General features: G+C 38.0%; 1 protein-coding gene across 48 annotated transcripts in view, besides 1 other annotated feature; it reads left to right on the forward strand.

Moving 5' to 3' along the window:
• Window positions 1-27,468, forward strand: part of SLMAP (sarcolemma associated protein) — a 173,705-nt gene that overhangs the window by 53,563 nt on the left and 92,674 nt on the right. For 30 of the 48 annotated variants that reach the window (XM_017007155.3, XM_047448889.1, XM_017007161.3 and 27 more), the window contains one exon: window positions 21,512-21,659. In XM_017007155.3, the coding sequence (XP_016862644.1) occupies window positions 21,512-21,659 (148 nt within the window). Of the gene's footprint in view, window positions 1-21,511; window positions 21,666-27,468 lie in introns of all 48 variants that reach the window. The other 18 variants (NR_165328.1, XM_005265456.5, XM_005265468.5 and 15 more) reach the window with 1 other exon arrangement.
• Window positions 21,825-22,326: an enhancer, noted in NCBI's record as "NANOG hESC enhancer chr3:57817423-57817924 (GRCh37/hg19 assembly coordinates)". NCBI's record gives its function as "activates a minimal SCP1, AML or CMV promoter by ChIP-STARR-seq in naive H9 embryonic stem cells {active_cell/tissue: H9 hESC(naive)}" and the evidence as "EXISTENCE:reporter gene assay evidence [ECO:0000049][PMID:30033119]".

The raw sequence follows: 27,468 nt of genomic DNA on the forward strand, positions 1-27,468 counted from the left end.
TCCACTTGTCTTCCTACCCTTTTCTTCCTGGACACAGCACAAGAACTTGGGACCTGCTGAAAGGCAAGGCTGAAAGAGCTGTAACACAAACAGGGCTGAAACATACCCCTTGCTTGCCATACTGCAGATAAAGAGGAGAGAAGAGCTGCAGCCCTTCAGGGAGCTCAGACCTGGAGCTCCCCAAGCCAGGGCTGTGACTCTTTGGTTCCCTGTGGTTCCTGGAGGCTCCAAGCTTCCAGGTGCCACCATGTTCCCTGGTGGCAACCATGGAAGCTGCTTGCGGTGTGCCTGATCTAGCCACAGCCTTACAGAGAGCCAGCACCCATGCTGGCACCTGGAGCTGCCCGCCCCACTGCAGCAGGCAGCATGCCTGTGCACAGTGGTCCGACCCCATGCTCGCTTGCTTGCACACCCCTTGCCACTCCATGCCTGGCTTGCCGTTGGCAGGCATGGGATCCAGGCTGGTAGCATGAACCGAGTGCAGCCTGCCAGCCCAAGTAGGCAGAATGAGCCCAGCAGACCCGAGCAAAACTCAGGCAAGGGCACCACCAGCCACAGAGGTTTCTGGCCAGAAAAGCGACACCCCAAGGATCCTGCAACAATTTTTCTCTTATTAGAAAAATTCTGTTGATTTCACTTTCTCTATTAGCATTGCTCATTTATTTGCTTCCATTTAGAGCAAAACTTCTTAAAAGATTTATCTATATATGCGGCCTCTCATTCCTCTGTGTCCATTTTCTTTGGAATCATTCTGGTAAGGCATTCATCTTCCGCTACGTCCGCACTGTTCTTGCCAAGGTCGTCGGTGGCTTTCAGATTATTTCCAGTGGTCAGCGTTTGTCCCTTACCTTACTTGATCTATCAGCATCATTTGACTGTTGATCTCTCCCACGTTCTTGGAAAACATTATTCACATAGCTTCCAGGACATATCACTTTCTCTTGGTTCTTTTCATACCTTACTGGCCATTCTTTACAATTTCCTTTGGTTGGTCCTGTTTTCCATGACCTTGAAACTTTGAACTGCTCCATGTCCTTGGACCTGTTGTCTATCTGTACTTGTTCCCTTGGTGATCTCATTCTGTCTCTTGGCTTTAAATTCTGTTTATATGCTGACGACAGCTTAATTTATATCTCAAGCTGAGACTTCTTCCCCTGAACTCTAGGCTCATATATCCAGCTGCCTTTAAAAAAATTTTTATTGTGATAAAATAAATGTAACATAAAATTTATCATTGTAGCCATTTTTAAGTATACAGTTCAGGGTATTATATACATTCATAATGTTCTGTAACCATTATCACCATTCATCTCCATAACTCTTTTCATCTTGTAAAGCTGAAGGTTTTTAAATATTAGACAGTAACTCTCCATTTTTTCCTCCCTCCAGTCCCTGCCAGACTCCATTCTTTCTGCCTCCATGATTTTGGACCCCTGAAACTACCTCAAATAAGAGGAATTATGTAGTATTTTGTCTTTTTGTGACTGGCTTACTTGATTCAGTATAATGTCCTCAAGGTTAATCCATGTTGTAGCATTTGTCAGAATTTCCTTCCTTTCTAAGGCTGAATAATATTTTATTGTATGTATATTTTTATGTCATATTTTGCTTATCCATTCATCTATTGATGGACACTTGGGTTGCTTTTACATTTTAGCTATTGTGAATAATGCTGCTATGATCATGGATGTACCAGTATCTCTTTGAGACCCTACTTTTGGCTATATACCCAGAAAGGGAATTGCTGGATCATATGGTAATTCTTTTTCAAAATTTTTGAGGAACTGCCATATTGTTTAACACAGTAGCTGTACCATTTTACATTCCACCAACAGTGCATAAGGGTTCCAATTTCTCCACATCTTTGCCAACACTTATTTTCTACTTTTTTTGAGAGTAGCTATCCTAATGGGTGTGAAGTGGTATCTCATTGTTTGCATTTCTCTAATGATTAGTGATGTTCAGCATCTTTTCATGTGCTTATTGGCCATCATATATCTTCTTTGGACAAATGTCTATTCCAATCCTTTGCCCATTTTTGAATTGGGTTCTTTGTTTTTTAGTGGTTGAGTTTTAGGTGTTCTCTATGTATTCTGGATACCAATCCCTTATCAAATGTATGATTTGCAAATATTTTCTCCCATTCTGTGCGTTGCCTTTTTACTCTGTTGATAGTGCCCTTTGACACACAAAAGTTTTTAATTTTCATGAAGTCCCCTTTGTCTTTTCTATTGTTGCTTTTGCCTTTGGTGTCATATCCAAGAAATCACTGCCAAATCCAATGTTGTGAAGCTTTTGCGCTATGTTTTCTTTTAAGAATTTTATACTTTCAGGTCTTACATTTAGATCATTGATCCATTTTGAGTTCATTTTTGTATATAGTGTTACGTTAGGCTCCAACTTCATTGTTTTGTATGTGGATATCCAGTTTTCCTAGCACCATTTGTTGAAAAGACTATTCTTTCCCATTAAATGATCTTGGCACCCTTGGACATAATCTTTTGACTGTATATGTGAATGTTTATTTCTGGACTGTCTATTCTATTCATATTCTTTTGAATATGAGATATATGTCTGTCTGTATGCCGGTACCATACTGTTTTGATTAGTGTAGCTTTGTAGTAGGAATCAGGAAGTGTGAATCCTCAAGTTTTGTTTTCTTTTTCAAGATTGTTTTGGCCATTGAAATTCTATATAAGTTTTAGGATGAGCATTTCTAATTTTGCAAAAAACATCACTGGAATTTTGATAGGGATTGCATTGAATCTATTGATTGCTTTGGGTATTATTGGCATCTTAACAGTATTAAGACTTCTATGATTATGGGATGTGTTTTTATTTATGTCTTTAATTTCTTTCAGTAATGTTTTATAGTTTTTATTGTACAAATATTTTACCTCTTTGGCTAAGTTAATTCCTAAGTTAATTCATTAAAAATTTTTTTAAATTTTTCCTTTTTTTTTCTTAACCCCTTTCCCAACTCCCTAAGTTAGTTCTTTTTGATGCTACTGAAAATGAGATTGTTTTTATAATTTCCTTTTTGGATTGTTCATTGTTTAGTGTATAGAAATGCAACTGATTTTCCTGTATTGTCTTTGTATCTTACTACTTTGCTGAATTCATTTATTCTAACAGTTTTTTTCTGGACCATTTAGGGTTTTCTACATACAAGACTATATCATCTATAAACGGATAATTTTATTTTGTCCTTTCCGTTTGGATGCTTTTTTTTTTTTTTTTTTGAGACAGAGTCTTGCTCTGTTGCCCAGGCTGGAGCGCAGTGGTGTGATTTCGTCTCACTGTAACCTCCACCTCCCGAGTTCAGGTGATTCTCCTGCCTCAGCGTCTCGAGCAGCTGGGATTACAGGCATGCGCCACTGTGCCCAGCTAATTTTTGTATTTTTGGTAGAGATGGGGTTTCACCATGTTGGCCGGGTTGGTCTCGAACTCCTGGACTCAAGAGATCCTCCCGCCTTGGCTTCCCAAAGTGCTGGGATTACAAGCCACCATACCCTGCTGGGTATAAGCTTTTAAAATTTTAATAAATATTGCTGAATCATTTTCCAAAAAAGTTGTATCAATTTATAGTCTCATGTCCAGGACAGTGAGCCTTCTGTATCCATGGGTTACACATCCATGGATTCAACCAATTTTGGATGGAAAATATTTGGGGGAAAAAAAAGGATGGTTGCGCCTGTACTAAACATGTACAGAATTTTATTTTTGTCATTTTCTAAACAATACATCATAACAACTATTTAAGTAGTATTTGTATTAGGTATTCTAAGTAGTCTAGAGATGAATTAAAGTATATAGAAGGATGTGTATAGGTGTTAATGCAACTACTACATCATTTTATAAAAGGGTCTTGAATATCCATGGTGGCTTTGGTGTCAGTCCTCTCCATGGATACTGAGACATGATGTATATGAAAATGTTGTTTCCTCCACATTCTTGCTAGAGCCAGTTATCACTAATCTTAGTCTTTGCCAAACTTATATTAAACATCTTGTTAGTTGCCTATCTTCCTGAGCTTTTAGGCTTGAGAGTTTTGGCGTCAGGTGCCTGTTTGTACCTTCCCATACATGTCTTTTTTTTTTTAATGGAAATTTCAAATAATATAGGAAGGTATAATGGGAAGGCCCTTATCCTTATACTGTGTCCCAAGTAGCATTTTGAGTTTTGAATAGAGTGAGTTATGACCTTCTGTGAGCATTATTCTTTTTTTTTTTTTCTATTTTATTTTTTCTCCCCGCAATACTTTCCAAGTCATGAGCCCCTCTCTCAGGGTGAACCCATCCGAGGGTGTCCTTCAGTTGCCTGCCTGCCTTCTTTCCATTCATCGTCCATCTCTGTCACCCAGGCGGGAGTGCAGTGACACAATCATGGGTCATCGCAGCTTCAATCACCTGGGCTCAAGCGGTCCTCATGCCTCATTTTTTGATTTTTTGTAGAGACAGGGTCTCACTTTGTTGCCCAGGCTGGTCTTAAACTCCTGGACTCAAGCAATGCGCCCACCTCAACCGCTCAAATTGCTGAGGTTACAGGTGTGAGCCACCGTGCCCAGTCCTCTGAGCATTATTCTGTGGCTTGACTGGGTTTCCAGCCCTGTTACTTAGGGCCAGGAGTGCAGTAGGACCCTGGTTTAGAAAAGGAATTATGACATCTGCTAAATACTATTTAGCTTAATTTATTCATAAATTGGTTCACACTGTTAATTGAATAGTTACAGATCTCCTAGTCTGTGTAATATATTCTAAGCATACTTACATACACATGAGAGCTGACTAGTAATTTCCTCTTGATATAACTTCACTTAGGGCTGGGTGCAGTGGCTCATGGGTGTATTCCCAGGACTTTGGGAGGCTGAGGCAGGAGAATCACTTGAGGCCAGGAGTTTGAGACCAACCTGGGCAACAAAGTGATGCCTGTCTCTACAAAAACAAAACAAAACAAAACAAAAAAACTAGCTGGGTGTGGTGAATGTGTGCCTGTAGTCCCAGCTACTCGGGAGGCTGTGGTGGGAGGATCTCTTGATCCTGGGAGGTTGAGGCTGCAGTGAGCTGTGATTGCCTACTGTACTCTAGTATGGGTTACAGAGCAAGACTCTGTCTCAAAAACCCCCCAAAATTTGGGATTCCCTAATCCAGCAGTCTCCAACCTTTTTGGCACCGAGGACTGGTTTCATGGAAAACAGTTTTTCCATGGATGGTAGGTAAGGAATGGTTTCAAGATGAAACTGTTCCACCTCAGATCATCAGGCATTAGTTAGATGTGCAACCTAGATCCCTCACATGCATCGTTCACAATAGGGTTTGCACTTCTGTGAGAATCTAATGCCACCACTGATCTGACAGGAAGTGGCGCTCACGTGGTAATGCTCACTCGCCCTCTGCTTACCTCCTGTTGTGCGGCCCATTTCCTAACAGGTCACAGACCAATACCAATACCAACTATGGATAAGGGACCCCTGCCCTAATCCATATCACAGTGTTTTGTATTTGTTATAATTGGTTTTCTGTCCATGCTGTGAGACAAAGGCTTAGTGACTTCCTTCTATGCAGTAGTACACCTTTGCCCCATCACACATGAATATTACTGTGAATATTACCATAAATATCATGGTTATTTATAATAAATATGGTTATTTATGATAACCATTTATTATAACCGTATCATTCTGATAATAACCATAAAATATTATATATGTTATATATTTATCACCTGTATATATTAGAGTTCAGCTGTTACTGATCTATTTATATCTTTTGGTTTTTTTTAATTAGAGCAGGGTCTCACCATCTTGCCCAGGCTGGTCTTGAACTCCTGGACTCAGACAGTCCTCCCACCTTAGCCTCCCAAAGTGCTGGGATTACAGGTCTGAGGCACTGCACCAGCCTTTTTATTTCTCTATCAGCTGTTTAAGTAATTGTCAAAGAACCTTATTTTTAAAAACCTTTACCATTAAAGGAAAGTCCTGAATCAGTTCCCTGACTGAAAAAAATCAAAGTGATTACGTATTTACACATATTCTGTGAGCTTAATAATAATAGCTACCATTTGTTTAGCAGTTAGTATGTACAAATACTGTGCTAATGCTTTATATCCTTTAACCTTTACAACAAACATTCTGAGGTAGGTACTGATGCCATCCTTGATTTAAATATAGGTAAAGGGAGGCTCAAAGAGGTTAAGTAGGTTGCTCATGGTCACACAATAAGTTAGAAGGTGATACAGCTTGAATTTAAACCGTTTGTGTTTGTTTGTTTGTTTGTTTGTTTGTTTGTTTTGAGACGGAGTCTTACTTTGTCGCCCAGGCTGGAGTACAGTGATGTGATCTAGGTTCATTGCAACTTCTGCCTCCCAGGTTCAAGTTATTCTCCTGCCTCAGCCCCCCAAGCAGCTGGGATTATAGGTGTGTGCCACCACACCTGGCTAATTTTTGTATTTTTAGTAGAGATGGGGTTTCTCCATGTTGGCCAGGCTGGTCTCAAACTCCTTGCCTCAAGTGATCCACCTACCTTGGCCTCCCAAAGTGCTGGGATTACAGGTGTGAGCCACAGCACCCAGCCGAATTTAAACCTTTAATATATGCTCTGCTCCATATAGCATCCATTATTTGGATGTAATACAGTATGGCCTACTTTATGTTAAATCACAACTTAATAGCTTCCATTTTATAGTATGAATTACATCATTTATTGCTTCTACATTTAAAGAAGTCATATGTGACTTGTGCCTTTTGGAATTTACTGACAGGGAATGAAACATGGAAAAGATCAGATTATAGTGCTACTCAAAGTGTGGTTTGGAAATAGAGATGTGAGAGTTAGCTGCTTAACTTGGAATAAAGCCTGAGTCTTGGATTTAGTTGGGGGAAAGTGTTTATTTTGTGAGAAATGTTATCTGAAAGAAATCTTATTTGTTAAGCTATTTAAACTGAACTTCAGAAAGAAAAGGTGACTTTTAACAGGTAGAGAGTATGAGTGGGTGGAAGCAAAGGGCTTTTGAAGTCCAAGAGCAGCATAAGGAAAGACAGAGAGGCCTGGGGCTTGTGCAGGGGCACTGCTAGTAGTTAAGCAAGGGTGGAATGGATAGTACTTTGAGAAAAAGAGGAAGATTAGGTTAGATAGGGTGATTAGGGTCATTTTGAAAGACTTTGAAAGTCACAGCTCTTGGACTTGATTTTGAAGTCAGCAGAGGGTCAACAGTCTTTTTATAAAGTGAAACAATGTGATCAGGTTTGTGTTTTAGGAAATAAGTCTAGCATCAGTGTGGAGGGTGTAGAGTGTGGAATTATCTTGGCAATGGTTAGGGTAAGAGGAACTGTAATCGGAAGGGAAAGGCAGTATGCAATTGAGAGATTTTACTGAATCAGAAATCATAGGAATTGGTGACACATTAGATGCCCTGAGGTTTTATTGATATTATTTATTATTACTGATAGTATTATTACCGTTATTATGCACTTACTGTAAGTGATTTCTGATGGTCACAAATCCATTCTATTATTAGTGGCTGCTGACTGAATTTCTGTTAAGAGATGCTCAGGAAATGATGGGTAAATGATGAGATGAGTCTAGGTTGTAGATGTTACAGTCATGTAATATTTATTTAAAATATTTATTTGGTTCCTGCTCAGAAGGCATTTTGTTTAGGATTGGGAATACCCCAATCTTCAAAGAATTTGCCATATTCATGAGGAGTCTAAGCGGCCTTGTTTGCTGTTCTTTCTGTATAATCTTTGGACTTATGTTTTAACTCCTCATTCTGTTGGCTCATGTGGGATGCTGCTTATTTCATAGTGTTCTGAAGTTTAGATGAGGTAGTGTATGTAAAGTACCTAGTATAGCTCCTAGCATGAGCAAAAGCTAGTTCCCTTCTACTCTGTCATGGACACAGAAACTGGAAAACCCAAATTTATTAGGATTGTGTGTCAAATAGGTGGTAGCAGGTAGTGAATGAATTTCTGAAAGAAATTTTTAAAAGCTTACCTTTCCTGATGATTTGGCATCAGAAGGTCTGATTGCTATTTTACTATTCTTACCATTGTGACTATAGATAGGTCACTTGGTTTGTCAGCCTAAATTTACTGATTTATAAAATGAACAGAATCCTTGCTGTTTTATAGGCGGTCTGGAGAAATAGTAGAGATAGTGGATATAAAATTGCCAGATAAACATTAAGTAGTATAGCAGAATGGTTGAGATCTAAAGTTTACTAGCTTAGGAGACCCTTTGGCGAGTTACTTAACCTCTTTTAGTCCTGATTTCTTTTTTGTTTTGTTTTGTTTTGTTTTTTGAGATGGAGTTTCACTCTTGTTGCCCAGGCTAGAGTGCAGTGGCGCAATCTTGGCTCACTGCAACCTCCGCCTCCCGGGTTCAAGCGATTCTCCTGTCTCAGCCTCCCTAGTAGCTGGGATTACAGGCATGCGCCACCACACCCAGCTAATTTTGTGTTTTTAGTAGAGACAGGGTTTCTCCATGTTGGTCAGGCTGGTCTCGAACTCCCGACCTCAGGTGATCCACCCGCCTCGGCCTCCCAAAGTGCTGGGATTACAGGCGTGAGCCACTGCGCCTGGCCATAGTCCTGATTTCTTTATCTGAAGTATGGGGATAATATAACATCTGCCTCATGAGAGTGTTATATAGATTAAGTGAAAAAATGCATGCAGAGTAGTTTATCCAAGCACATGGTAAGCACTCAAAAACTGGCAATGATTATTGTAAATTATGTGGTACCCTTTTGTCACTGTAGAATAATTTTCTTTGATCTTGCTTTCTCTTGTTAAAACTTCTGTATATAAGTGATGTATATAAGTGATTCTGGATATAAGTGATGTTACCTTTGATGGTAGTGAAAGAAATCAGCAATGCTTTTAAAAGAAAACTTCATACTTTCATAAGCTTTGGCTCCAAAAACTTCCTAGGGAAAAATGTCTAGGGACTTATGTTTAAGTCATAAATAGAGATAGAATTTGAATGTGATACTTTCTATTACTAAATTTCAGTTCAAAATTTTAAAAGAATTAGTGATTCTTAACTGGGAGCATTACTAATTCTGAGAAGTGCTGGATATCATGAGAGGTGTTTGAACAGCTGAATCATGTGGCAGCAGAAAAATGAGAGCCTCTGTACTAAACTCACATAAGGAGTTTATTTTCCTTCTTCCAAATAGTCATTTCCCATTTCAGACAAAATGACTGTTTCATAAATTGCATTGTTATTATTTCCATTTATTCACTTATGGTCCCCAGAAAGTTTGTTTGCTTTGTCTTTCAAAGTAGAATTATTATAATTTTTAAAGAACTTACCTGTGGATGTCTAAATTTTCAAAGCCTTGAGGAGATATATCTCTCAAAGAATTAACTATGACTAAAAACGAAGAAATATGAGTAAAGACCAAGATGTTTGAAACAAAGTTATATGCCAACTTGAATGATTGTGCCTAAAGAATGAAAAGGCCATCATAATTATTTTCATTACCTCATAAATTTAAAGCATTTTTAAAAGCTATGAATGTTCTTTTTTGGGCAGGTGTACTATTTATGTCTTTTAACATTTCCACTGAATTTGTTTGCCAAATAAATTCTTTGTGTGTGGGCAGGTTTTTCCCCCCCACAAATAAGATGCATAGTCCTATGATTTTCCAATTTTACCAATCTTTAATGGAAATTTTTTTCTTTTAGTTTCTCTCTCTCCTACCTCTTAATGACTGTATAGATCAATATCAACTATCCTTAGATGGAGCCCATTGTATGCATTATTAAACAGTTTATAAGGCTTTAAACCTAGTGACCTTGTTCTTTTTTTCCCACAAATGTGATCACGGGTACTTCCTTTTGTGGCAAACATGGCTGTTATTCTATGGGTAAGGTGTTGTTTTTGTTGTTGTTTGTTTTGAGACAGGGTCTCACTCTGTCATAAGCCTGGGGTGCAGTGGTGCCTCATAGCTCACTGCAGCCTCAAACTCCTGGGCTCAAGTGATCCTCCTGCCTCAGACTCCAAGTAGGTGGGACCACAGGCACACACCATCACACCCAGGTAGTTTTTGGATTTTTTGTAAAGACAAGGTCTCACCATGTTGCCCAGACTGGTCTTGAACTCCTGGGCTCAAGCGATCCTTCCCCTCCACCTCCCAAAGCACTGGGATTACAGGTGTGAGCCACTGTGCCTGGTCTGTGTGAGGGTTTTTAACAGAGATAAAGAGTGGTGGTGCAATTATTTTGTTGTTGTTTCAGCTGACCCCAGGATAGTTAGCATTTTGTGAGGAAAATCATGAAGTGTAGTGAGAGTATTGCATATTTAAAATATCACAATATCCCCTCGTTCTGTTCCTAATATGCTAAAATACATGACATTTGGGTAAAATATGTAATATTTAAAATATTGGTATTAATAATTTTGATATCCTTTGAGGTAATTAGAGACTTTTTGATGTCTAAAAGATTGAGTTTGAGATCACTATCTGTTCTTTAGTATCAGTTAAGTAGGAGCCTCAAAGACAAACAGCTGCTTTTTTGCTGTGATTAACACACCCCGAGAGGAAAAAATAATCAGAATTTTCTTGTCAACCCATCAGTTTTGGGGTGTGGGAAATAGATTAATCACTGCCAAATTAGAATTTGCTGTAGGCTTTCAGCCCCCGCCCCCACTACCACCCCATCTCTCAGAACTGTATCTGTAAACGCGAGGGCAAATGGTCCAAGGTTCCATACATGCAGGCTTTCTTTGCCTTGCAGGGTAATCTGGACCTCTGCCAACATTGTAGAATTGATTCTGCCCTCCTAGCGACCATCTCAGAGAGGCTGCAAAGGGCAATTCCAGGGAGATAGGTAAGCAAACCTTAGAGATACCTCCAGCGGGGGACTCAGCTCTCTCTGGTCCTGCTCCTCCTGGTCCACTTCGTCCTCCATATCCAGGTTTTCTTTCAAGCTTACCTCATCTTAGAAATTCTCATTTTAGGCAGGTCCCAGTCTCACTCCTGCCCCTACTGCCTGGTGAATATTGCCCCATTAAGGTCCAGGCCCTCCTTTATCTACAGGACTTAAGGCAAATTAAGGGGGATCTTACAAGTTTTTAGATGACCCTGACAGGTATATAGAGGCTTTCCAGAATTCAACATAGGTGTCTGAGATTCAGAAATCTAATTTACTTTGTCCTGAATTCTCAGTGAAGGATTGTCTTAATTTGAAAGCATATTTAAGAAATATGTAATAATTCTAGTTGGGTTTTATATGCTTTATACTGTTTTGATTACACTTTTAAAAATTTATCTTTACCACTTTCCCTATTTCTGTCTTTCATAATCTTATCTCAGCTCCCATGTAGAGACTTATCTCAGTTCCCATGTAGAAATACTTTTTCTTTCTCCACTTTTCCTTGTGAGCTGGCCCCAAAAGAAAGATTTATTGTACAGTGAACACATCTAGAATGTCACTAGGTGGAAAAAATCTTGGCAAATTAACATCATTTGTAAGACGTTCGGGTAATATATTGGCAAGTTTCATTCTAGTTTACATGTGAGATTTCATTTTGGTGAAAACATTTCACCACTTCTATATATTTTCCTATAGAATATGAATAAAGATTTTTATTTCTCCCTTCAGTGGCACAATTAAAAATTCCAGCCTCAGAAATGTGTGATGCTTTGTTAGCCAGGAAGCCAGAAAGGTTATATAAATAAATTAATTAATGTTGAACATGCATATAATTACTAAGTTTGTATACTCTAAGAAGCGACTAAATTGTTGGTGGCAAAAGTGAACAAATCATGGGTCTCCTTATTTCTGGTGACTCCCACTGCAGTTCATCCTACACACAGCTGCTAGATCATCAAAGCTGTTGGATTAATCTCCCTAAAACAATATTTCATCAACTCTGTCAGTAGTGCCTTCTGTCTTAAGAAATTGCAACTTCTTAGTCCAGTGCCAAAGGCCCTCTCTTTACAGCTGTATCTTGCATTTTTCCACTTGTTCCTTTGTTTGGTTTTTGTTACCCTCTGGGGGCCTTAGCTATATATAAATTTGCTGCAATACCTGTTCCTCCTCCTCCTCCTCCTCCTCCTCCTCTTTCTCCTTGCCTTTTCATTCTGATTACCACCCTCACTCATAAATGCTTCCTTAGCAACTGATTATGCCTAACTGTATTTCCCACCAGGCTCTCAGGATTTTGGTACTTAATTCATCCTGTCTTAATTTATTCTCAGTTTAGGGTTGCTCTCCATATGATTTTATGGATGTGCAGTCTCTCCAAGATAGGTGCCAAGTAGATGTTACAGACTAAGTGATTTGCCTTAATGATGGAGGTAGAGTTGAAATTGGCTCTATGTATTCTGATTGCTTCAGGAAGTCTTTATACATGAAATGGGATTTCATAAGTTTGGAGTCAAAGATCAGAGAGTGTTTAAGTAGGGAAGAAAGGCAGTGTGGAAATTTTGCAGGAATAACAGTGTTAAATCTGCAATAGCTGTGAGGTCGTGGCACTCTGCTTAATATGCCTGAGGCTCAGTTTCTTAATCTGATGCCACGGAAAAAGGTAGAGTAGGAATCTCTGAATTGATTCCTCCACCAGAAGAACTACTGAGCTCGCATGAACTGTCTGAAGCAACTATTTTGGAACTCTGGAGTCTAGTAGAACATTTGCAGCATCCAAGGGAGTACTTGATAAGGAAAGAGGCTGGTAAGTTTCAAAGAATTTCATTGTTTTGGTGTTTGGCATAGTAGCTACCATCTCCCATCCCTCAATCCTGTAGCAGCCAGGTGATGGTTGCCTGTGTTCCTGGTATGACTTGCTGGTCCCCAGGTGGGCGTTTGGGACCTTTAAAAATTGGGATTGTGTATTATGATTGCTATTTTTAATTGCTGAGGTGCCAGCTGTTTCAACCCCCACAAGCTGAAATGACTTACTTGGCATTAGCCATTTAAGATTTAAAGAGACAGCACATTCCCTCAAACTCCTTTTCTTATTGGATCCAGGCACTTAAGGAAATCTGTGTTAGGTCACTGGATGACTGCAGAGATAACAGAGACTTCAGTGACCACATATGGCAGGGAGTATAATCCTTGCAAAGAATAGGTTGGAAAATTCACTTAAACAAATGGCTGGCTGCCACCCTCATCAAGTAACAACAGCAGTCCTGGGGAGAGAAGGGAGCCTGATTTCCAGAGTTACCACATTACAGTATTCAAAATATCCAGAAAAAATTAAAAAGCATACAAGAAAGAGGAAAGTATGGCCCATTGCTGGGGGGAAAAATGGACAGAAACCATCCTTGGGGAAATGCGGACATTGGACTTATCAGACAAAAACTTTATCTTTTTTTTTCTGATTTGGGTAATTTATTTTTTTATTTTTCTTTTATTATACTTTTAAGTTTTAGGGTACATGTGCACAACGTGCAGGTTTGTTACATGTATATACATGTGCCATGTTGGTGTGCTGCACCCATTAACTCGTCATTTAACATTAGGTATATCTCCTAATGCTATCCCTCCCTCCTCCCACCACCCTACAACAGTCCCCGGTGTGTGATGTTCCCTTCCTGTGTCCATGTGTTCTCATTGTTCAATTCCCACCTATGAGTGAGAACATGTGGTGTTTGGTTTTTTGTCCTTGTGATAGTTTGCTGAGAATGATGGTTTCCAGCTTCATCCATGTCCCTACAAAGGACATGAACTCATCATTTTTTATCGCTGCATAGTATTCCATGGTGTATATGTGCCACATTTTCTTAATCCAGTCTATCATTGTTGGACATTTGGGTTGGTTCCAAGTCTTTGCTATTGTGAATAGTGCCGCAGTAAACATACGTGTGCATGTGTCTTTATAGCAGCATGATTTATAATCCTTTGGGTATATACCCAGTAATGGGATGGCTGGGTCAAGTGGTATTTCTAGTTCTAGATCCCTGAGGAATCGCCACACTGACTTCCACAATGGTTGAACTAGTTTACAGTCCCAGCAACAGTGTAAAAGTGTTCCTATTTCTCCACATCCTCTCCAGCACCTGTTGTTTCCTGACATTTTAATGATCGCCATTCTAACTGGTGTGAGATGGTATCTCATTGTGGTTTTGATTTGCATTTCTCTGATGGCCAGTGATGATGAGCATTTTTTCATGTGTCTTTTGGCTGCATTAAAAAAAACTTTATCTTAAATATACCCACAGAGGTGAAGGAAATCATGGTCAAAGAACTAAAGGAAATCAGGAAAACAATGTATCAATGGGAAACATAGTACAGAGATGAAAATTATAAAAAATATAATTCAGTAGAGAGTTCAATGGCAGATTTGAACAGGCAGAAGAAAGAATAAGTAAACTTGAAGACAAAGCAATTGCAATTACCCTGTCTGAGGAGCAGAGAGAAAAATTTGAAGAGAAATGAACATACCCTAAGGGACTTATGAGAAGACATCAAGCTTACCAACATATGCATTGTGGTAATCCTAGAAGGAGAGAGAGAAAGGGACAGAAAAAATAGTCAGAGAAATAATGGCCGAAAAGTATTTTATGGTTTTAGCTTTTATATTTAACTCTTTAATTTATTTTGAGTTCATTTTTGTGTATGGTATGAGGCAGGGGTCCAACTTTACTTTTCTGCATGTGTCTCTCCAGTTTTCCCAGCATCATTTATTGAAGAGATGATTCTTTCCTCATTGAATGGACTTTGAAAATCACTAGGCTGTAGATGTTTGGATTTATTTCTGGACTCTAGGTTCTATTCCATTGATCTTTATATCTGTCCGTATGCCGGTAACACAATGTTTTGATTACTGTACCTCTGTAGTAAGTTTTGAATTCAGGAAATATGCATCTTCCAACTTTGTTCTTCTTTCTCAGGATTATATTGCCTACTCAAGGTCCCTTGCAATTTCCATATGAATTTGAGGATGGACTTTTCCATTTCTGCAGAAAAGGTGGTCATTGGAATTTTGATAGGGATTGTGCCGGATCTGTGGATTTTTTTGGAAAATATTGATACCTTCACAGTATTAAGACTTCCAGTCCATGAACATGGGGACATCTTTATATTTATTTAGACCATCTTTAATATCTTTCAGCAATATTTTACAGTTTTTAAATGTAAAAATCTTTTACCTCCTCAGTTAAATTTATTCATAGGTATTTTATTCTTCTAGATGGAAATGGAATTGTCTTCTTAATTTCCTTTTTGAATTATTCATTGCTGGTATGTAGAAACACTGTTTTTTGTGTGTTAACCTTGTAAGCTGCAAATTTGCTGGATTTGTTTAACTCATAGTTTTCATGTGAATTCTATGGGGTTTTCTATATATAGGATCATGTCATCTGTGAATAAACATAGTTTACTTCGTCCTTTCCAATTTCAATGCCTTTTTTTTTTTTTATTCTTTCTAGACAAGAAACTTCTAGTACAGTGTTGAACAGCAGTGGTGAAAGCCGGCATCCTTGTCTTGTTCTTGATCTCAATGGGGAATGCTTTCAGTCTTTTACTATTGAGTATTATGTTAGCTGTTGGTTTTTTATAAATGCCCTTTATCATGTTGAGGAAGTTCCCTTCTAACGTTAGCTTTCTGAGTGCTTTTATTGTGAAAAGATTTTATATTTCATCAAATGCCTTTTCTGCATTGAGATGATTGTGTGTTTTCTTTTTTTTTTTTTTTTCATTTTCTACAAATGTGGGGCATTTAAACATTTTTATATTATAAAATACCTTTTTAAAGTTGAACCACCTAGGGTAAATCCCACTTAACAAAGCAATGCCAGCCACTTTTACAGCTTGGATGAGTTCTGAGTTAGGCAAAACAAAGATGAAAGCCTTGCACCAGTTCTTCCTATAGCCCCAGACAGGTGAAAATTAGACAAAATAATTTGTGATTAAGGTCTGCTCTGCTCCCTCTGGAACTAGGTACCAGGGTGTCCCACGCTGGGAATGCAGGCTGATGTCTCCAAGACTTATTTTGTGCTGGAGAGGGGGATGGGACTAGGGTAAGTAATGCCACAAAGCTTTCCTATATTTTAATTGCCTTTTTCTTGATTCAGCGTTTACTTGGGTGCTGTAAACCTTTGACTGTTTTCGAGACTTTTAACAAAGTTGGTTCTGATAGTTTCTGCTTGTTTTTCAGTGTTTCTATGGGGAGCTTGGAGCTGCCTACTCTGGCATTTTGCTGATGTCACTTTCTTCATTCTTTATGGTTTTAAAAAATTTTACCCTTTTTAAAACCTTTTATTTACTCTAAGGCATTATTTGTTATATTTAATCACTCTTGTGAGCCTTCTAATTTGTATTCATTTCTAAAATGAATTTTTCCTTTTACTTCTATTCTTTTGAGTTATTTCACCTTTTCTTGAGTTGTATAATTGTGATTTATTTTGCTCTTTCATGTCTTGAATTATTTTTCTAATGTCTTTTAGCTTGTTTTGAAATAGAAGTTTACAGTTTTGATCTCTTCCCAAGGTCTGTTTTTCATTATCTGTAAAGATACTATTCTGCTCCTTATTCTCTTTTTTCTTAAAATAACTGTATGGATGTGACCTTGATACATTTCTGTTGCTAATTTTTATATGAAATTGGTTTTCCTGAACTTTAAAAAGGGGTCATGGTTCAGGATAACTTTTCTAATTCACAGAGCTCCCTCTTCTGTTGTTTTTGTAAAATGTTTAAAAATATGGTGGCTTCCTTTCCCCTTCTCAACTTTTATCTGAACCTTTTCTTTCCTTGTCTCTATTGTCCCTGTTCTGCTTAATTTTGGTTCCACTCCCAGCAGTTTTCCCTCAGTTTGGAGCCCATTCCTGGAAGGTAGCTTTGGTTGGTAGGTTGGTTTTAAGAATTTATATGGCTCAGACTGTTCCAGCCTTTTTAGGAACTTACCCTGCACTCACTTGTTATTGGATTGAGCCACACCATTCCCATTTCCAGCTTTTCTTCAGTTGGCCTCCATACTGTCCAGTGAACACCTAATAGCTATTTTGGTGTTGTCCTCAAGTCCCCCAAATGCCCCCTTTGTTTCCTTACGTATCCTTCTGCACAGATGCTGATTCCATGCAGGTCTTGTGGCTTTTGGTGGTCTTCCCCACTCTTATTTTGGGGTTTGTGTGGGTACTGTGTCACCTACTTTTGTTACAAATGTTTCCCATGGGATTTTGGTTTTGCTATCTTAGTCACTCTGATTTTAGGTGGTGATTCAAGGAGATTAAAAATTTTTGTTGCAGTATCTGCTATCTACCTCGAATCTATTCTGCATTCATATCTTAAGAACTCCCCTATATGGACTTAGAGTTTGTGGCCCCTGGCCTGTGGTGTGTCTACTATATTTGTGCTTTGTTCTGAAGCTTTACTTCAAATGTTATTCATCTGTTGGTGTTTGGATATTGCAAAACCTATCAATGTAGAAAGAGTTAAAAAGAATCAGTGTATCATTATAATGGAAATGAAAATATTTACAGATTGTAGCAAAGTTGAAAGTGATGCAAAATGTATGTATTTATGGAATGAATTCATCTATAGCAGGAACTTTCTGAAGGTCAAAGAGCAAATTGTGCAACCTGTGAAGTGCTGTTCCTGTGTCATTGAAGTTAATCAGCAAGAGACAAGGAAAAGTGACTGATGAGACAGGGGTAAACCTTTCAATTCAAGGATCACCATCAATGCCTGATTGTTGGGAACTTAAAGTTTATTCAGGGAAAGCAAGGAGTTGATCAAAGAATTAAAACCTTAAAACAATGAAAGTGCTGCTGTTGAACTTTCACCTTAAGCCACACAGGGTTTTTAAATTCAGAGCTCCTTACTCACCTGCTCAACATCAAAGTGAATGTCTGGTGGCTAATGCAAATACTACAGCTGCTAGGACATTCCTTAGGCTACTGGGAAAGAAAGATAGTTAAGACTTCAACAGATTCTTTATTTCTTTTTTAATGTGGTCAAAACTCCTTTTAAGAGGAGGGAATAAAAGCCTGATAGAAGAAGGTTATCAGCATAGAGGAGAAGGATATTTCTGGTTTGAATTTGACAAAGGATCAAGTAATATATCTACTTGCTGGAAATGTACCCAGGGACTATAAGCATACTCCCTTTCTAGGCCCTTGCAAACAGTTTAACATTTATTTATTTATGAGACAGAGTCTCACTCTATTGCCCAGGCTGAAGTGTGCAGTGGCACGATCTTAGCTCACAGCAACCTCTGCCCCCCAGATTCAAGCAATTCTCCTGTCTCAGCCCCTCACTGCCGCCGAGTAGCTGGGATAACAGGCGTGCACCACCATGCCCAGCTAATTTTTTGTGTTTTTAGTAGAGATGGGGTTTCACCATGTTGGCCAGGGTGGTCTCAAACTCCTGACCTCAGGTGATCCACCCGCTTTGGCCTCCCAGAGTGCTGGGATTACAAACGTAGGCCATCATGCCCAGCCTAGTTTAACATTTTTATACCTTAGAAACCTAACCTGATAGTAAACAGAATAACTTCTATACATAATGTAGACTGATTAATGGTAAATTGTTTTACAGGAGGTACAGAATCTTTTTTTTAATATGTCAATCTTTCAAAACAGCCAAGGGCAAAAGGTTAAATTATATAAATGAAAATATTTCTGTAGAGAACTAAACTAATGTGCTGTAGCTGTATACAAGTACAGAGGGTTAGGGGGATGAATAGAAGTTAGTGTAACTGAAAAGGATGCAGAAGGAAAAGAGTGGGAGTGATTGAGTTGTGAGGGAACCAGGACCAGATCCTGTAGGGCTACAATGGTAAGGACTTCGGATTTTATTCTAAGGTGTTTGAAAGCCATTAGCAGGTTGAAAGCAGAAGAAGAACGAGCAACTAATATAAATTATATGTTCAAGCTAAACGGAGGCCAAAGGTACCATGGTATGCTTTGGACGGTAATATAGACATGTCAGAATGAAAAGAACCTGGGTTGATATTGATGTAAGAAAAAAAATTTTTTTTGAGACAGGAGTTCATGCTGTTGCTCAGGCTGGAGTATAGTGGCATGATTATGGCTCACTGCAGCCGCAACCTCCCAGGGCTCAAGCCATCCTCCCAGCTCAACCTCCCGAGTAGTTGGGACTACAGGCCTGCACCACCATGCCCAGCTGATTTTTTGTATTTTTTTGTAGGGATGGGGTCTCACTTTGTTGCCCAGGCTGGTCTTGAACTCCTGGGCTCAAGTGATTCTCCCACCTTGGCCTCCCGAAGTGCTGAGATTACAGACATGAGCCACTGTGTCTGGGCCCTGATGTAAAACCTTTTAAATTTGAAAATATGTTGTGGTTTTAGAGTTATATAGAAGCTACAAACATGAGGTGTTGATATACATACATATATATGTTGTATATATATGTACATATATTTCTTTTTGTTTTTCAACAGTGTTGTTAAACAGTAATAAACCTTTTTTCATGTATTCTTTATTTTTATTCTGTTCCATTTTATGTTTTTTTAAAAAATGCTAGTTGCAACTCACTAAATTGGCTTAGTAACCCACTAATGTATCAGAACTTGAAGTTTGAAAACCACTGTAAATATCATATAATCCCCTTATTTAACTTGCCCAGGCACATATTACTAAAAATAACCTGACCAGAATCCAGACATTACCACATTTCCCAAGAATATATTTATTAAAAAAAAAACTCTCTTATACAATGTAACATTAAGTTCCAGTGTAGAAAAAATTTTGAGGGTAAATATTCCTACTTGAAAGTATTGTCTGTCCTTATCTCCCTGGGTGAAATGTTAAGTCCTGTAAGTTTCAAATGTATTTAAAATATCAACACAATTTTCTAATTAATCGTCTGTAATTAGATATACAAACTGCTAATCAAAGTAACAGTTGGTCTATTTTGAATTATAAACAGAGAATAAGTCATTTATAGACAGCCTAGTGGCCTTTATATTGTCAGCTACCAATTAATGAAATGAAATGTAATTTGAACATTTTCTGCAGATTGCTTCTTAGTCTTTAGTTGTATTTAATTTTGGAAGAGAGCTGTGGGAGGGGTGAAGGATAAATGAAACATAAAGTCTGTGTCCCCTGTGAAGTAATGAGGAAAAATGGCCCTTTTAATTTTCTTATTTGAACTCTTGCTTCTGTGTTCCCCAGTTCTGTGACTTTTGAAAGATACTTAATATACCTGCATCTCACTTTTTTCCTTTATAAATGAAAGTAGTAATATCTTTTTTTGTTTGTTTGTTTGTTTTTGAGATGGAGTCTCGCTCTGTTGTCCAGGCTGGAGTGCAGGGGCACGATCTTGGCTCACTGCAACCTCTGCCTCCCGGGTTCAGGTGATTCTCCTGCCTCAGCCTCCCAAGTAGCTGGGATTACAGGCACGTGCCACCACACCACCATACACCACCATGTTGGCGAGGCTGGTCTCGAACCTCTGACCTCAAGTGATCTGCCCGCCTCAGCCTCCCAAAGTTCTGGGATTACAGGCGTGAGCCACCACACCTGGCCTAAAATAGTAATATCTTTATCATAGCTTTAATGTTAAATGAGGGCCTGATGGCAAAAGTATATTTTGATATATAGTGTATTAGGTGTCTTTTTACCTTTCTTCCTTAGGAAGAAATTCAGCGAAAATGTGTTACTAAAATAAGTAGGGCTGAAGAGTGTAGAAAAATCGAAAAAGAAAGGTACGTCTTTTTTTACTGGTGGTTCTCTTCCTAGTAAGTCTATTGTGTGTGATCCCAGTTGTGCTGAAATTTTTAAGGATTTGTAAGTGATAAATAGGTAGGCTTCTTGTGCCTCCTGCTATCCTTTCTGTTTTTAAAGAGGGAGGGTTACCCAAGTGATGAGAAGCAAATTTGGACAACCATCACCACTAATTTTAGAATATTTTCATCATCTCAAAAAGAAACCTTGTACCCATCCCATTCCTACCTGCCACTTCAGCCTTTTGTAAGCACTCATGTACTTTTTGTCTGTATAGCTTTGCCTATTCTGGATGTTTCATATAAAATGAATCATTATAATACATCAGTCTTTTGTGACTGACTTCTTTTACTTCACATAATGTTTTAAACGTTCATTCATGTTATAGCATGTTATCAATACTTCACCCCTTTATTGCCAAATAATATTCAGTTATATGAATGTCTACCACATTTGTTTATTCATTTATCAGTTGATGGATAGTTGGATTATTTTCCCTTTTTGGCTATTATGAATAATGCCAACATTTGTGTAGAAGTTTTTATGAGAACATGTTTTTAGTTCTCTTGGATGTATACCTAGGAGTGGAATTGCTGAGTTGTATACTAACTTTATGTTTAACATTTTGAGGACCTGACAAACTCTTTTTCCAAAGAGGTTGTACCGTTTTATGTAGCTGAATTTTAAATCACCTAGTTTTCAGATTCTAATTTCATATATATTAAAGGAGAACCTTAGCTGAAATGAGTGGTTTGAATTAATAGGGGAAAAATTCACTTGCAATAGTTGGCAAAGCTGGAAGCATTTTTTTAAAAAGTACATTTGGAATTATTACTATTAATATTTGGCCCTTTTTTGTTTTTGTTTTTTTTTGCAGTTTTATCTTCAAGACACTAAAAGTAGTAATGGTACTTTTATAAATAGCCAGAGATTGAGTCGAGGCTCTGAAGAAAGTCCACCATGTGAAATTCTTTCCGGTGACATTATCCAGTTTGGAGTAGACGTGACAGAGAATACACGGAAAGGTACGGGTATGGATCACTTTTTTTATTACTTGTCTTTTAAAGGTTATTTAATTTTTTATTATCTTACTTGACATTATGAAACATTACATGCTTGTGAAAGCGATTTAAATACAGCATTATATACAGTGAAAAGTTAAAAGTCTCATACTTTCCGTATTGCTCTTCTAAAATTTTAAATTCTGAAGTGTTATTTAGTAGTTTATATTCTTCATCACAGTCAGGGACCAGTCAGCTGCAATGACAGCATACCCCACCAAGACAAGCTTAAATCACAGGATATTTATTATTGATGATGAGACTTAATGAGAGATCTGGAGGCAGATAGGTTCATTTGTTCAGTTGACTCAATGAGATCATCAGGGATCCAGGGTCTTACTGTCTTCCTGTTCTACTGTCTTAAACATTTTAGTTTCTCATGCTTTTGGTTGTTGCTTCATGGTCATAAGATGATGGCTGCAAGCCCCAGGCATCATTTTCCTCACACCAGTATCCTAGGCAAAAAGGATGAGGCGGGGATAAAATGCCTTCTTGTGTGGCTCTCTTCTTATGTTGAAAGAACAATCTTTTGCAGAATCCTCCCAGCAGATTTCTCCTTAGGTCTCACTGGCCACATGGGTAGATCGCATACATAGTTACCTGCAGCTACAAAGAAGTCTGGTGAAGTTACTTAATCTCGTGAAAGGGAGCAAGAAGATCTATGATTGACATAGATCAGTTTTGATTTATTCCTTCAGGTTGTGTGTACATTGTTACCCCAAACAAAATTAGAGCTCTCTTAGCAAGAAAGAAGATGGAAAGGTAGTAGAGGTAGGCAGCTAATAGTAGCTATCACAAGTATAAAATAAAATTTAATGTCTCACAATTTTTGAAAGTTCTTTAGCTAAATAAATGTAGATTGATCTTTGTTTTTACAATTCAGAAGCTTCCTGCCTCTACCTAGTTCACGGTCTTCTTTATGACCATGAAATTATATAGCTAAATCATAAAACTAAATGGATAAAAACCATAAGTGTTTAGTTCCACTTCATTAGTTTAATATGGATAGTGCAACCATTTGGCAAGTTTCTCCTTTCATTTGTCTGAACATACTCTGATCTGGTGATACTGGTCAGAATTTTGCATAGTAGAGATGGTGATGGTGGTGATGATGATAATGCTGATGATGCTGGTGTGTGTGTGTTCATATGCATATTTATGCATATACTTTCACTGGTATTGCAACAGCAGTATTATTTTTAATGGGTTTTTTTGGCCTCCTCAGAAAGTTAGGTTTTGATATTTGAATTTGGGCAGGGCCAACATCTTAGGAATTTCCATTTACAATTGTAAACCAAAAAAGAAAGGTTTGTATTTTGGTAAAGAATATTGACACTTCTTACTAAGAGAATTCAACTTATATATGACCATACTGGGAACAGCTGCATTAGACACTCCTATATCTGCTGTTGCCATATCACACCTACAAGTCATTCAGCAAACAGTAAACCGAGCTCATTAAATGGAACCCCAACTGTGAGTAACCCATAGAGAAAAAGAGAATTTGATTACATTGTCTTTCTCTCCAAGGAATGTCTGTCTTCTTGGCTTGCATTTCCTAAAGGGAATTATTAGGTGTTGATTGACAAAAAGGATGAGGTAATGAAATACATTTAGAGAATACTTAGGTAAGATAAGCAGGACTTCTTGGAGCTTTTAATATGCTAACATATATGCAGATTTCCAAGGAGGTGGCCATTATAGAATGCAACTCTTTCCAAACTCCTTTCCACTGTTTTTTCCCATCTATCTGTGAGGGTCTATCTGTGAGGGATACTCTTTAGAAAATGCTATAGAAAGCTAAGAAGATGACCCTGAGATTCAAGGTTCCTCTTAGTATAATCTTATTTTAGTAACATTAGTTTTTTTTTTTTGAGACGGAGTCTCACTCTGTTGCCAGGCTGGAGTGCAGTGGCACCATCTCCAGTCACTGCAACCTGTCTCCCGGGCTCAAGTGATTCTCCTGCCTCAGCCTCTCGAGTAGCTGGGACTACAGGTGCATGCCACCATGCCCAGCTAATTTTTGTATTTCTAGTAGAGACGGGGTTTCACCATGTTGGCCAGGATGGTCTCGTTCTCTTGACCTCGTGATCTGCCCATCTCAGCCTCCCAAAGTGCTGGGATTACAGGCTAAGCCATCACGCCTGGCCAGTAACATTAGATTTTTACAGTCTTCTGTGAAATTTGATTTATCTTTTATGCTAACTTTAAGGAGATTAGATTTAAAAAAAAAAAAACTTGCAACATTTAAAATGTTGTTTCTTTTGGTACTTACTGGCTTCAAAAAGTTGACTTATGTTAAGCACGGGCTCTTGGGATACAGCTGTGTCACCAGTTGAGTACTACCTGTTTAAGGACATACCAGAAAAAAAGTATTGATTTTTATCCTATGCTAAACAGTGCTGTGATAACTTTTGTATCACTTGGAGAATGCTCCTGAAATTATGCAACACTACTAGATAACCCCTGGATCAAAGAGGAAATCAAAAGGGAAATTTCACACTGTATTGTAAAGAGAGGAGACTTTTATGCCAAAATACAGTAAGTCTTTTAGTCAGATAAAATTAATAATCTTAAATTCCATTCATGTTAAAGAAGAAAGACAATTAAGAAATCTGACACTAATCAGAAGAAATTAGAAAACGAATAAGTAAAAGAATCTGAAAAGGAGAAATAAAAGCAGAAATTAATGAAACAAAAAATTCTACAAGGGATAAACAAACCCAGATGCTGGTTCTTTTATTAATAAAAAGAAAACAAACAGTGAACAAGGTAATTAATAAACCGTAATGCATTAAGTTAAAAATACTAGCGAAAATATACAAGATGAGAAATGAGAAAGGAGAAATAAAACACAAATACAGGATATACTACAAGAATAATAAGAGAATCTTATATGGCTATCTATGGCAAAGAGAAAAGAAAAAATTAGAGTAAATTGATGTTTTCCTAGCAAAATTATCTCAAGAAGTGGAAAAATTTGATTAATTGATTGTTTTTGAAAGAGACTAAAAAGTTATTAAAGATTCACCATTGAAAAGACACCAGAAACAGAGGGATTTACAGCTGATCCCTCTGTTTTTAAAAAACAGATAAACCCTGTGTTATTTAAGTAATTCCAAACATAAAGATGGAAAGCTTTCAGAATCCTTTAAAGAACCTAGCATATCATTAATGTGAAAATCTGATAAAGATATAGATACAAAAAAGAAAACTATAATTAATTTTATTTATAACAATAGATGAAAAATTTCAATTAAGATACTAGGCCAGGGTTTGGCATAGTGGCTCATGCCTGTAATCCTAGCACTTTGGGAGTCTGAGGCAGGTGGATTGCTTGAGCCAAGTAGGTTGATACCAGCCTGGGCAACATGGTGAAACCCCATCTCTACCAAAAATGCAAGAATCAGCTGGGCGTGGTGGCGCACGCCTGTAGTCCCAGCTACTTGGGAGACTGAAGTGGGAGGATGGCTTGAGCCTGGGAGGCAGAGATTGCAGTGAGCCATGACCGCACCACTGCACTCCAGCCTGAGCAACAGAGCCAGACCCTGTCTCAAAAAAAAAAAAAAAAAAAAAAAAAAAATGCTATTAGGCCAGACACAGTGGCTCCCACCTGTAATCCCAGCACTTTGGGAGGCTGAAGTAGGAGGAGCCCTTGAGCCCAGGAGTTCAAACCAGCCTGGGCAACATAGGGAGACACTGTCTCTACCCGCTCCCCTGGCCCCCAAATTTTTTTTAATTAGCTGTGGGCCTGGCAGCTTGCACTTGTCTCAGCTACTCCAGAGGCTGAGGTGGGAGGATCACTTCACTTGAGCCCAGGAAGTTGAGGCTGCAGTGAGCCCTGTTCATGCCATTGCACTCCAGCCTTGTCTCTAAAAACAAAAGATATTAACAAATTAAATTCAGAAATAAAGCTAGAATAAACAACAAAGTAGGATTTATTCCAGAAATGCCAAGATGAGTCAGTATCAGGCAGTCTATCAACATAATCCACAGACTAAAGTAGAAAGACCATGCAACTGTATAATCAGTAGTTGTGTCGCTGAATAACCAGAGATACTGAAAAGGCATTTGATCAAATTTAGAAGTTACCCCTAATAAAAATTCTAAATAAATAGGATGAAAAGAAAACTAAGTAAAATAAAAATGTTAAGTAAAATAGAATAAAAAATAGCAAAATACTATACAGCTGTGAAAATGTATGGACTAAATTTGCATATATAAACAAGATAAATCTCAAACTTTATCTCAAGCAAACTGTCGAAGGATTTGTATAGTGTAACCATTTACAGAAAGCATGAATGCCTGCAAAACAATACTATATAGTGCTTTTGAATACACTTATAATAAAGTACATTTGTATACATGTGAATGATAAATAGGATTTATGAAAGGATGTTTTTGGCATCAGTGTGTATCATACTAAAAACAATGGAAGCATAATTTTAAAACTCCCCATTTTACAGGTATTAAAAAGAAAAAATTATATTAATTGCAGGGATTTCTATAAGATATAATGTTGAGTAAAGAAAGAATCAATTGTTTTTAATAATTTCATTATTTAAAATAGTCTCACCAATCCCTATAAATACATATATGTTAGACATATATATCTCTAGATCTTTAATGTGAGTCGTCCAGGAGTGTGGGTGGGAGGGAAGAAGGAATAGAGGAGAAGAGGGAGCCAAATTAAAAGGGAAAGGTTACTAGAACTACAATTAAAAAATCACCCAGTATGTAGGACATTTATGTATTTATATAAACTAATTTGTGTATATGTTAAAAAATTTCAGAAAAAGAATATATATAATATGTAAGATTGTATGTGTGTGTATCAGGATTTTGTTAAAAAGGTAACATGAGCCTAATACCACTGAACATATCGGTTCATATTAGTGTCATTTCTGTTCTTAGCAATCCAAAACAATCTGTTTTTTAAATTTTTTTAATTTATAGAGATGGGGCCTCACTGTGTTACCCAGGCTGGTCTCGAACTCCTGGCCTCAAGTGATCCTCCTGCCTCAGTCTCCCAAAGTGGTGGGATTAAAGGCTTGAGCCACTGGACCCCACCAACAATCTGATTTTGATGTTTGGCATTCTTTGTGTATGGCTTCAAGGAGAAAACTCAATGGTCAGGCATGTACACATAAGCTGCTCTATACTGATAAAATATTATTGTAAACAAAGAGCTGACATTCTAATAGATTTTTTAAAAGAAAGGAAGAAAGTGAGAAAGCCAAGGTTTACTAACCTAACCACTGGCCACTCCTCTTTTCCTGGACCCACAAACTGCTTAAAGAGTGAGTTTTCTGGGTCACACATTATTACAGTAACCCTCTCTTGCAAAGCTTGGGGCCAGTTAGTTCTGTGAACACATGTAACTTCAGTCAGCTTATTACTTCAGGCCTTCATCACCAATATCTTTTTCTTAGTTAAGCTCCTGTGAACAAAGGGCCTATAAAGAGCAAAGTCAATGGTGTATCTTCCTTTGGCATTGTGCTTCAACTGCACTGAATTACTTTTACTCCCCCTAATAGACATGGCCTTCAAGCCCTTGCACATGCTTTTTCCTATGCCTAGAAACCTTTCTTGATCCTCAGGGCTGGACAAGGTGCCCACTCCATGCCCCTGTTGTACCCTGTACTCATCCCTTTTATGTGTTTACTGCCCTCACTAAACTGTAAGCTGTGCAACTATAGGAAGTGTGTCTGTCTTCACTGTAGAATCTCCACACACAACCTGGAACATATTGGTTGAGTAAATTTGAGAATGT

This window comes from Homo sapiens, chromosome 3 (genome assembly GCF_000001405.40).
Source record: "Homo sapiens chromosome 3, GRCh38.p14 Primary Assembly".
In the NCBI taxonomy this organism is placed as follows: domain Eukaryota; kingdom Metazoa; phylum Chordata; class Mammalia; order Primates; family Hominidae; genus Homo; species Homo sapiens.